Below are 12,129 nucleotides of genomic sequence, written 5' to 3'. Positions count from 1 at the left end.
CAGCTTTGACCAGGTTTGCTCTCTTCATTCTCTTCTTCCATGTCCTCCCCCTTCTCTCCAAATGTTTAGAAAAAATCCATCCCTGTCTCTGAGAGATCAGGCTTTACTTTTTGATATAAAGTTGGCGGGGGTGTTGGAGGAAAGTTTTGCCAAGTAATAAATACAGAACAGATTCTCTCAACTCATCACAGGCTGATGCATTGGCAGCTCAACAATTGCTAGGCCCTGCAGACGAGTCATTAATTTGCTGATTCACTTCTAGAGAAAGCCCACCAACTTTAATTTCCTCATTTATTTCCATAGATAAATGGTGCCCTCTCTCCATGGACAAGCTAATGGATTTTATAATTACTCACTTCTGCTTTCTTTTCACATTATATTCCAGTTTCAAAATTGAAGTTTAGTGATTGAAATACCTGTAATATCAATATTTCATTTCCAAAGACATTTTCATCTTTTTTAAAAATTTTATTGTATTTTATTTTTTTTTTAAAGACAGCACCTCACTCTGTCACCCAGGCTGGAGTGCAGTGGCTTGATCTCAGCTCACGGCAAGCTCCACCTCCCGGGTTCACCTGCCATTCTCCTGCCTCAGCCTCCCGAGTAGCTGGGACTACAGGTGCCTGCCACCATGCCCGGCTAATTTTTGTATTTTTAGTAGAGATGGGGTTTCACCATGTTAGGCAGGATGGTCTCGATCTCCTGACCTAGTGATCTGCCCACCTTGGCCTCCCAAAGTGCTGGGATTACAGGTGTGAGCCACCACGCCCGGCCAAGACATTTTAATCTTAAGTGAATAGTCCAGAGAATCATGTCCCCTGACACACAAGTCCAGCTGTTTATTTCAGGTTGGCAGTTTGCTTTATTACTTTCATACCAGATGAATTGCAAAGATTAATTATTATTGCTAACCTCTTAAAGATTAAAAGCACTACACTGGTGTTAGGCATTGTTTCATGTTTTCTGGAGCCATATGATTCAGAGAAACCCCCAAAGTGTGATTTATTCCCTTTTTCTTACAGGACAGTGCAGTGGACAGAGCAAGAGTTTGGCATCAGACCTACCAGGGTCCACATTCCAGCCCTCCCTGAGTAGGGTGTGTCATTAGGCAAATTATTTAAACTCCTGAATCTCAGTTTTCTCATCTGCAAAATGGAGACAAAAATATCCATTAAAAGGACTGCTAAGAATTAAATGTGATTGCTTAAAGCAGTGATTCTCTGGACCAGCTGCATCAGCATCTTCTGAGAACTTCTTAAAATGCAAAATCTCAGGCTCCAACCTAGACCTACGAAATCAGAAGTGCCGAGACCAGCTCGGTCAGGGAGACCCTAACCCAGCAGCACTAGGGGAATTAAAGACACACACACAGAAATATAGAGGTGTGAAGTGGGAAACCAGGAGTCTCACAGTTTTCAGAGCTGAGAGCCCCGAACAGAGATTTACCCACGTATTTATTTACAGCAAGCCAGTCATTAGCATTGTTTCTATGGATATTCAATTAACTAAAAAGTGAGAAACGAAGGGATGGGCCGAATTAAAGGAATAGGTTGGGATAGTTAACTGCAGCAGGAGCATGTTCTTAAGGCACAGATCGCTCATGCTATTGTTTGTAGCTTAAGAACGCCTTCAAGCATTTTCCGCCCTGGGCAGGCCAGGTGTTCCTTGCCCTCATTCCCATAAAATCACAATCTTCCAGCTTGGGCGTTAGGGCCATTATGAACACGTTACAGTGCTGCAGAGATTTTGTTTATGGCCAGTTTTGGGGCCAGTTTATGGCCAGATTTTGGGGGGCCTGCTCCCAACACAGAAGTTCTGGGGGTGGGGCCCAGCAATCTGTGGTTTTTTGTTTTTTGAGACAGGGTCTCGCTCTGTCACCCAGGCTGGAGTGCAGTGGTGCTGTGTCCGGAATTGGTGGGTTCTTGGTCTCACTGACTTCAAGAATGAAGCCGCGGACCCTCACGGTGAGTGTTACAGCCCTTAAGGTGGCACGTCTGGAGTTTGTTCCTTCTGATGTTCGGATGTGTTTGGAGTTTCTTCCTTCTGGTGGGTTCGTGGACTCCCTGGCTCAGGAGTGAAGCTGCAGACCTTTGCGGTGAGTGTTACAGCTCTTAAGGCAGTGCGTCTGGAATTGTTCGTTCCTCCCAGTGGGCTCGTGGTCTCGCTGGCTTCAGGAGTAAAGCTGCAGACCTTCACAGTGAGTGTTACAGCTCATAAAAGCAGTGTGGACCCAAAGAGTGAGCGGTAGCAAGATTTATTGCAAAGAGCAAAAGAACAAAGCTTCCACAGTGTGGAAGGGCACCCAAGCAGGTTGCCACTGCTGGCTCAGGCAGCCTGCTTTTATTCTCTTATCTGGCCCCACCCACATCCTGCTGATTGGTAGAGCCGAGTGGTCTGTTTTGACAGGGCACTGATTGGTGCATTTACAATCCCAATGCGTTTACAATCCCAGAGCTAGACTCAAAGGTTCTCCACCTCCTCACTAGATGGGCTAGATACAGAGTGTCCACACAAAGGTTCTCCAAGTCCCCACCAGAGTAGTTAGATACAGATTGTGGATTGGTGCATTCACAAACCCTGAGCTAGACACAGGGTGCTGATTGGTGTGTTTACAAACCTTGAGCTAGATACAGAGTGCCGATTGGTGTATTTACAATCCCTGGGCTAGACATAAAGGTTCTCCACGTCCCCACCAGACTCAGGAGCCCAGCTGGCTTCACCCAGTGGATCCCACATCAGGGCTGCAGGTGGAGCTGCCTGCCAGTCCCACGCTGTGCGCCCACACTCCCCAGCCCTTGGGTGGTCAATGGAACTGGGCACCATGGAGCAGGGGGCGGTGCTCATCGGGGAGGCTCCGGACACACCGGGGAGGCTTGGGAGCCCACGGAGGGGGTGGGAGGCTCAGGCATGATGGGCTGCCGGTCCCGAGCCCTGCCCCATGGGAAGGCAGCTAAGGCCTGGTGAGAAATCGAGCGCAGCGCCAGCGGGCTGGCACTGCTGGGGGACCCAGTACACCCTCCGCAGCCGCTGGCCCGGGTGCTAAGCCCCTCATTGCCCGGGGCTGGCAGGGCCGGCCGGCTGCTCCGAGTGCGGGGCCCACCAAGCCCACGCCCACCCGGAACTCCAGCTGGCCCACAAGCGCCGCGCACAGCCCGGGTTCCCACTCGCACCTCTCCCTCCACACCTCCCTGCAAGCTGAGGGAGCCGGCTCCAGCCTCGGCCAGCCCAGAAAGGGGCTCCCACAGTGCAGCAGTGGGCTGAAGTGCTCCTCAAGTGCCGCCAAAGTGGGAGCCCAGGCAGAGGAGACGCCGAGAGCGAGCGAGGGCTGTGAGGACTGCCAGCACGCTGTCATCTCTCAATCCCCCCTCTAAACAGGACACCCCAACTGCTGTTGGGAATTTGGCCGATGACCACTCTAGCTACTTCCTGCTGGATAGAGGCGAAGAAGGGGCCCTGTAGTTGTGGTGTCCTTCAGAGGGGAACTCTCTAGGCCAGGGGAAGTGCCAGTGGGTCGGTCCAGGGGTCCTCGGTAGAAGTTGTTAGTTGAACTCATTTGGGGTTCCATTTGTAAGACCATCTGTAGCTTGATGGCCTCAATTCTAGAGGAAACAAATTTGACAAGAAGGTTAAAAATACAGGGCCCAAAGGTGAGTAACAGCAAGATGGCTGCCACAGGACCTAGAAAGGGGAGAAGCCATGTTGCCCAACTCCAGAGATTGGTATAAGAATTTGAAAGGCATTGTCTGATTTCAGAAGCCTTTTCCTGTAAATGCCGGGCGGCATCTCGTACTATCCCCTACTGGTTAGTGTAAAAACAACACTCTTCCCCTAAGAAGGTGCAGAGTCCTCCTTTCGCAGCAGTGAGGAGGTCTAGGCCTCGGTGGTTTTGGAGAGTCACTGCTGCCAAAGAGTCTATTTGGGATTGTAAAGTAAGGATAGATTTTGTTATTTCTTGCAAACTGTCTGAGAGGCAGATATGGGTTGAAGATCCACATAAGTAGAATATGCCTTGGCTGGGTAGATAGACATTTACCCTGGCTTTTAAAGGAATAGGGTACACTGTTTTTTCTTTATTACTTCCATCTGTCACTTTCTCTCTTCGACTTCTTCTTTGTCTCTTCCTCCCTTTTTAACTCTCTCTTTAACTTTCTGTGTCTGTCCCTCTTTCTCTCTGACTCCTTTTCTTTGTCTCTGTTTCTGACTCCCTCTTTGACTTTGTCTCTCTGTCTCTTCCTCTTTCTGTCTCTTTCTCTGACTTTCTCTTTCTCTCTTTCCTTCTCGCTGGTCTTTCCCTACCTCTGCCAGCCACTTATGCTGCTGTTCTCCCCTCTCCTTCCCATTTTGATGGCTTTGGTACTGTAAGACTCCCACCTCTTTGGTTTCCTGCACCGTGGGCAATAACTCCGTAACTTCCCTGTGGCATCCAGTGGGGGTTCCCAGAGGTTAGGAACTCCTATTCTTTCCATAATGCAGCATGGGCATGTAGGATTAGATAAGCATACTTGTTATCTGTATACACATTTATTCTTTTTCCCTTTCCCAGTTCTAAGGCTCGGGAAAGTGCCACTAGTTCTGCTAACTGGGCACTGGTCCCTGGGGGAAGAGGCTTGCTTTCAAGTATGGTTACATCACTAACTATGGCATAACCTGCCCTTCGTATCCCATTCTCCACAAATGAACTTCCATCGGTATATAGGTTAAAGTCAGGATTAGTTAAGGGGACTTCTAAGAGATCATCTTGGGTGGCATAAGTCTGGACTATAATTTGTTGGCAGTCATGCTCGATTGGTTCCCCATCCTCTCGGAGAAAAGTGGCAGGGTTGAGGGCCACGCACGTGCGTATTTGAAGCACCAGTCCCTCAAGGAGTAGTGCCTGGTATCTAAGTAGGCAGTTGTCTGATAGCCATAAACTTCCTTTGGCACCTAGTATGCCATTTACATCATGAGTAGTCCAGACAGTGAGATCCTTTCCTTGTATTATTTTGATAGCCTCTGACACTAAGACGACCACTGCTGCAACTACCCTTAAACAGTGAGGCCAGCCTTTTGCTACTACATCAATTTCCTTACTTAGGTATGCCACTGGTTGTGGGGTTGTCCCACGAGTCTGAGTAGGGACTCCAAGAGCTATCCCGGCTCTCTCTGTGACATATAAAGAGAAGTTCTGTCCTGTGGGAAGGCTTAAAGCTGGAGCTTGTACTAGGGCCTGCTTTAAGGTTTTGAAGGCTGTTTCTGCCTCTGGTTCCCATTCTACTAAATGAGTATTTGCCCTCTGGGTTTCCTTGATTGGAGTATAGAGGGGCCTGGCTATCTCGCTGTATCCGGGGATCCATAGTCAGCAAAAGCCGGTAATTCCAAGGAACCCCCTCAACTGTTTTAATGTCTTAGGGCAAGCATAAGCCAGTATAGGCTGTATTCATTCCTTACTGAGGGCCCTGGTCCCTCTGGCTAAGATTAGGCCTAGATATTTAACCTGCTGTAGGCAAAGCTGGGCCTTCAACCTAGACACCTTGTACCCTTGATTAGCTAGAAAGTTCAAGAGATCTAGAATAGCCTGCTGGCACGAGGCTTCCGAACTGGTAGCCAAAAGTAAATCATCCACATATTGAAGGACCAGAGTGCCTGGACTTGAGAAGTGGCTTAGATCTTAGGCCAGTGCCTGACCAAACAGATGAGGGCTATCCCTAAACCCTTGGGGCAAGACTGTCCACGTAAGTTGGGACATGTGGTCTGTGGGATCCTGGGAGTCAGAGTGCAGGGGAATACAGAAGAAGGCATCCTTGAGGTCCAGAACCGTGAACCATTCTGCTTCCTCTGGTATTTGAGAGAGCAGGGTATAGGGGTTGGGTACAACTGGATATAGTGGAATTACTGCCTCATTAATGAGTCTAAGATTTTGCGCTAGTCTCCACTGACCGTTCGGTTTTTGTACTCCTAGAATTGGGGTGTTGCAGGGACTACTGCATTTCCTCACTAAGCCTTGAGCTTTCAAATGTTTAACAATATTCTGTAATCCTTTATGAGCTTCAGGCCTTAAGGGATATTGCCTTTGATAAGGAAAAGTGGTGGGATCTTTTAACCTGATTTGGACTGGGCAGGCATTTTTTGCCCTTCCAAATTGTCCTTCCAATGCCCAGACTTCAGGGTTGATTCCCTCCTCAAGTAGGGGACAACAAATGGGTAACTTGTTCCCCATATTCATGTAGATAATAGCTCCAGCCTTGGCTAATATATCCCTCCCTAATAAGGGTGTGGGACTTTCGGGCATAACAAGAAAGGCATGTGAAAAGAGCAAAGTCTCCCAATTACAACTGAGAAGGTGGGAGAAATACCTGGTTACAAGCTGTCCCAGGATTCCTTGGATGGTAATGGACCTTGAGGACAGTCGTCCAGGTCAGGAGATTAACACTGAGAAGGCCGCACCAGTGTCCAGGAGGAAGTCAATTTCCTGGCCCTCAATAGTTAAACATACCCGGGGCTCAGTGAGGGTGATGACATGAGCTGGTGTTTGCCCCGGGCACCCTCAGTCCTGTTGATGGATCATCTACTTGGGGCTTCTGACCCAGGGAACCTTTGTCCTCTGGGGCAGTGCACCTTCCAGCGATTGCCTCGGCATAGTGGACATGGACGAGGGGGCAGCTTGTTTCTCATTGGACAATCTTTTTTAAAGTGTCCTAGTAAACCACACTTGATAACAAGTCCTACCAGGTGATTGGCCTGCTCCATTTTCTGTCCTCTCTGAACCACCAAGGTTTGTTTGTCTGAGGGCCATGACTAAGGCTGCAGCCTTTCTCTGATCTTGCTTTTCCTTTTGGGCCTGTTCCTCTTGGTCCCTATTATAGAACCCCGAGGTTGCCAGGTTTAATAATGCCTCTAGATTTTGTTCAGGGCCCAGGGCTTGCTTTTGGAGCTTTCTCCTGATATCTGTGGCTGATTGGGTAATAAACTTATCTTTTAGAATCAATTGACCCTTGAGTGATTCGGGTGACAGGGGAGTATATTTTCTTAAGGCCTCTTGTAGCCACTCGAGGAAAGCAGAAGGATTTTCTTCCTTTCCCTGAGTTATGGTGGATATCATTGAATAATTCATGGGCTTTTTTCTAATTCTCCTTAGTCCTTCTAGAACACAGGTCAACAGATGTTTACGACTCCAGTCCCCATGATCTGAGTCAAGGTCCCAGTGGGGATCCATACTGGGGATGGCTTGCTGACCGTTAGGGAATTTGTCCCTTTCTTCGGCTGTCATTCTATCATTTACTTGACTAAGATACCAGGTATCTCCAAACTCTCGGGCTGCAGCTAAAGCCGCATTCTTTTCATTAAAGGCCAGAGTTTGATCTAACAGTAGCATGACATCTCTCCAAGCGAGGTCAAAGGTTTGCCCTAGACCCTGTAGGACATCTATGTACCTATCAGGATCATCTGAAAACTTCCCCAGGTCTGCCTTGGTCTGTTTTAAATCAGAGAGGGAGAAGGGGACAGGTACGCGGGTTGGGCTAAATTCCCCTCCCCCTACAGCTTGAAGGGGACATAACCGATAGCCTGGGGGTTTTTGTAGTCCTTTGGAGATTTCTTTGCTTATTTCCTTCTGGGCAGGGGAGATTAGAGGAGGATTATCATTAATAGGAAGGGGAGCTATAGGGAGGCTAGGATATGCGGGTAAGCTGAGAGGTCCTCCTGTAGGATGTAAATTACAAGCTTTGCATAGTTGTGTATTCTCCCTCAATGAAAAGAAAGCTTGGACATAAGGTATTTCACTCCATTTGCCTTCCCTCTTACAGGAAAGGTCAAGCTGCAGGATAGTATTGTAACTTGTACTTCCCTCAGGTGGCCATTTTTCCCCATCAGAGAGAGAATATTGGGGCCAAGCCGCAGTGCAGAAAAAAATGAGCTGCCTCTTTTTCAGGGTTTTTGGGTCAAATTGGTCCCAATGGCTTAGGATGCATTTCAAGGGTGAGCCTGTTGATGCCTGAGTGTTTCCCATCTGAAAGACAAAACCAGCCACAATTTTGGCTTATTTTGTTTCTCCCCCTGCCCGAGAACCCACAATGGTCCCTGGACCCTGCTGATCGGAACACTTGTGCTCACCAACGCAGCAGCAGAAACACTAGTTTTCCTCCCAGACCACACGGAGGACCAAGGAAGATCTGATTTAATGGTCCTTACTGATGCATTCTCGAAAACCTGCACCCTTGCCTGTCCTCCTAGACCACAGGGAGGACCGACTGAGAAAAATCGGATTTAGTGGCCCTTACCGACGCATTCTCGAAAACCTGTTAGAGTCCTAAGCATTCTCCTGTTCATATTGGGACTTTACCCCTTTCCTATAAAGATGTTATGCCCCAAAAATGAAGCGGAGGGCCATACCCTGAGGGAGGGAAGGGATCTTCAGGGTTGGAAGAGTGACACCTTTTGTCCTCACTTATATGAATAGGAAGGATACAATTTCTGAGGCTCCCCATATCCTAGCTTCAGGAATAGCTTTTATTAGGCCTGTTAGTCTGAGGAGGGATCCTAAAATTCCAGGTAGTCCCCACTACGATGGGGCTTTGGGCAAAAATTATGTCTTTCTGATTGGTGAGCCTGGGTGCCTAAAGAAGGTAACAAGAGTCCTGGAGTTTATACTAGAAATCATTCTTATAGGAGAAACTAGAAAAGCACCAGAGACAGGTAGCAATTTTTAGAAGTGGGCCTAACCTCAGAGAAGAGAGGCAAAAGGAAGTTTGTCTGGAAGGCATTAGGACCCAGGGGGCAAGGGTCAGGATAGATAGGATAGATGGGTGAGTCTCGCTTGGGCAACATGCCTTTGAGAGTTCCGCTCATGACCGCAGGGTCAACCAACTTGTTGTTGGGACCCCGGAGCTGCATGTCTTTCCTCTCTGTCGACCCTCGGCTCAGCCCAGAAGTACAGGAAAAGTGGAAGCTGGTTCTAGGCAAACGGTCCCAACTCCGAAGAAGAGTCAGGGGTTGTTAGAGAGCCCTTTCCCAGAAAGCCTGACACCCATGTCTTTAGTCCGGCGGCCATGCTAGTCGCTTTTAACTGGCCAACAGGTGCCCGGTATTTAGCCCCCAAATTCTAAGGAAAGACAGGACAGAATAGCAAGTGAAAGGGGTCCGATGGTACTCACTGCTCAGCAATAGGCGATGGTCTCACTGCTCGGCGATTGTCTCACCACTTGGCGATAGGCGAAAGTCCCATCTGGGTTGCCAAAACGTGTCTGGAATTGGCGGGTTCTTGGTCTCACTGACTTCAGGAATGAAGCCGCGGACCCTCGTGGTGAGTGTTACAGCTCTTAAGGTGGCGCACTGGAGTTTGTTCCTTCTGATGTTTGGATGTGTTCGGAGATTTTTCCTTCTGTTGGGTTCGTGGTCTCGCTGGCTCAGGAGTGAAGCTGCAGACCTTCGCGGTGAGTGTTACAGCTCTTAAGGCAGCGCGTCTGGAGTTGTTTTTTCCTCCCAGTGGGCTCATGGTCTCGCTAGCTTCAGGAGTGTAGCTGCAGACCTTCGCGGTGAGTGTTATAGCTCATAAAAGCAATGTGGACCCAAAGAGTAAGCAGTAGCAAGATTTATTGCAAAGAACAAAGCTTCCACAGTGTAGAAGGGGACCCCAGCGGGTTACCACTGCTGGCTCCGGCAGCCTGCTTTTATTCTCTCATCTGGCCCCACCCACATCCTGCTGATTGGTAGAGCCAAGTGGTCTGTTTTGACAGGGCACTGATTGGTGCATTTACAATCCCAGAGCTAGACACAAAGTTTCTCCACCTCCCCACTAGATGGGCTAGATACAGAGTGTCCACACAAAGGTTCTCCAAGTCCCCACCAGAGTAGCTAGATACAGAGTGTGGATTGGTGCATTCACAAACCCTGAGCTAGACACAGGGTGCTGATTGGTGTGTTTACAAACCTTGAGCTAGATACAGAGTGCCGATTGCTGTATTTACAATCCCTGGGCTAGACATAAAGGTTCTCCACGTCCCCACCAGACTTAGGAGCCCAGCTGGCTTCACCCAGTGGATCCCACATCAGGGCTGCAGGTGGAGCTGCCTGCCAGTCCCATGCTGTGCGCCCACACTCCCCAGCCCTTGGGTGGTCGATGGAACTGGGCACCATGGAGCAGGGGGCGGTGCTCATCGGGGAGGCTCCGGACACACCGGGGAGGCTTGGGAGCCCATGGAGGGGGTGGGAGGCTCAGGCATGATGGGCTGCCGGTCCCGAGCCCTGCCCCGTGGGAAGGCAGCTAAGGCCCGGTGAGAAATCGAGCGCAGCGCCAGCGGGCTGGCACTGCTGGGGGACCCAGTACACCCTCCGCAGCCGCTGGCCCAGGTGCTAAGCCCCTCATTGCCCGGGGCTGGCAGGGCCGGCCGGCTGCTCCGAGTGTGGGGCCCGCCAAGCCCACGCCCACCCGGAACTCCAGATGGCCCGCAAGCGCCAGGCGCAGCCCTGGTTCCCACTCGCACCTCTCCCTCCACACCTCCCTGCAAGCTGAGGGAGCCGGCTCCGGCCTTGGCCAGCCCAGAAAGGGGCCCCCACAGTGCAGCGGTGGGCTGAAGTGCTCCTCAAGTGCTGCCAAAGTGGGAGCCCAGGCAGAGGAGGCGTCGAGAGCAAGCGAAGGCTGTGAGGACTGCCAGCACGCTGTTACCTCTCAGTGCAATCGTCTCTTACTATAGCCTCAACCTCCTAGGCTCAAGCAGTCCTCTTACCCATGCCTCTTGAGTATCTGGGACTACAGGCGTATGCCACAATGCTCGGCTAATTTCTTAAGTTTTTGTACAGACAATGGTCTCACTCTGTTGGCCAGGCTGATCTCCAACTTCTGGCGTTGAGTGATCCTCCTGCCTCGGCCTCCTGAGTATCTGGGATTATAGGTGTGAGCCACCGTGCCAAGCCAGTCTGTTTTAACCAGTCCCTGTAGGTGATTCTGATGCCCACTCAATTTGAGAACCCCTGGTTTAAAACATATAGCATACAGCAAGTGCTTAATAGTTCCTTTTTCCTCTATTATCTTTAAATAAAACTAGTAATTCTCTGCATTAAATGACTTGTACACAAAATGAGCTGCTGAGTTCAGCCTGCTTGCTCAGTTTTAGCTAACACCAACTCTGGAGCTAGATAGCCCTTTGAGGATGGATGCCTATAGTCCAAAAACATCATGTCATTCACCTCAAAGATGTCATTTTCCACGAAGCACATTGAAGAGGGGGTGGGCAAATAACACTGTCTATTAGTTTATGGAGGGTTCCTTCATAGGAAGAGACCTAAAGCACTGTTTTCATTTCAGGAAGAAACCAGGTCTTACGAACTCCCAGAGTCAAGCACCTAGTGGGGCCAGAGCTCTGAGCAAATGCTGCCATCCTGTGGGCAGAAGTGAGACACAGTGCATGGCCACCCAGTCTGTCCAATTAGCACTTACCAGGCATCTGGAGCACACCAGGCCCAAAGAGGGGTCCAGGCAGGTATAAAGGCCATACCCCGAGGTGCTCGCTACAGGATAGCGGAGATGAGCTTGCATGCAGATGAGTACGTCCCCAGTGCAGAGGCCAGAGCGGGGAGGTGCTCAATCTCAAGTGCCTGAAAGGACTTTTTTTTTTTTTTTTGTAGAAGCAGAGTCTCACTATATTGCCCAGGCTGGTCTCAAATTCCTGGGCTCAAGTGATCCTCTCACCGTGTCCTCCCAAAATGCTGGGATTACAAGTGTGAGCCACTACGCCCAGCCAAGACTATTTAAATATACAATCTTTTTCCTAAGGGCAGTGGAGCATTTGCAGAGCTATTAATACATTTTTCACAGAACAACAAATATACGGATTTTTTAAATGAGAAACTGAAAATTAAGGGTGATAAAAATGCTATTCAAAGACTCAGTTTCTAATTATAGTCTTCTAATGGAGAAAACATGGAACCAATTCATTTCTCTTGCTGTAACAGACGCTCTGTGAGAGCTCCCATTGAGAAATAGGTGCTGTCATTTATGTCTGTTCATGCTGCATGATTTAAAATTCTGGGAGGATATTTCATTTTAACACAAAATACCATCCTTTGAGCAAATGCAATTAACTTAAATTCTATATATACACCTAATTCGGCCTTTCATATAAGTAAAAAATATTTATTCACCTACCAAAACAAGAA

At 49.1% G+C, this 12,129-nt stretch overlaps 1 long non-coding RNA gene across 1 annotated transcript; it reads right to left on the bottom strand.

Moving 5' to 3' along the window:
- Positions 1-1,377: 1,377 nt before the first annotated feature.
- Positions 1,378-9,621, bottom strand: LOC124904428 (uncharacterized). Its single transcript, XR_007066636.1, has 2 exons — positions 9,129-9,621; positions 1,378-3,599 (listed from the first exon to the last, which is right to left on the bottom strand). It is a non-coding gene; the product is annotated as an uncharacterized LOC124904428 (long non-coding RNA).
- Between the last annotated feature and the right edge of the window lie 2,508 nt (positions 9,622-12,129).

This window comes from Homo sapiens, chromosome 1 (assembly GCF_000001405.40).
Source record: "Homo sapiens chromosome 1, GRCh38.p14 Primary Assembly".
Lineage (NCBI taxonomy): Eukaryota > Metazoa > Chordata > Mammalia > Primates > Hominidae > Homo > Homo sapiens.
The sequence above is the reverse complement of the archived record's forward strand: the minus strand, read 5'-3'. Positions and strand labels throughout refer to the sequence as shown.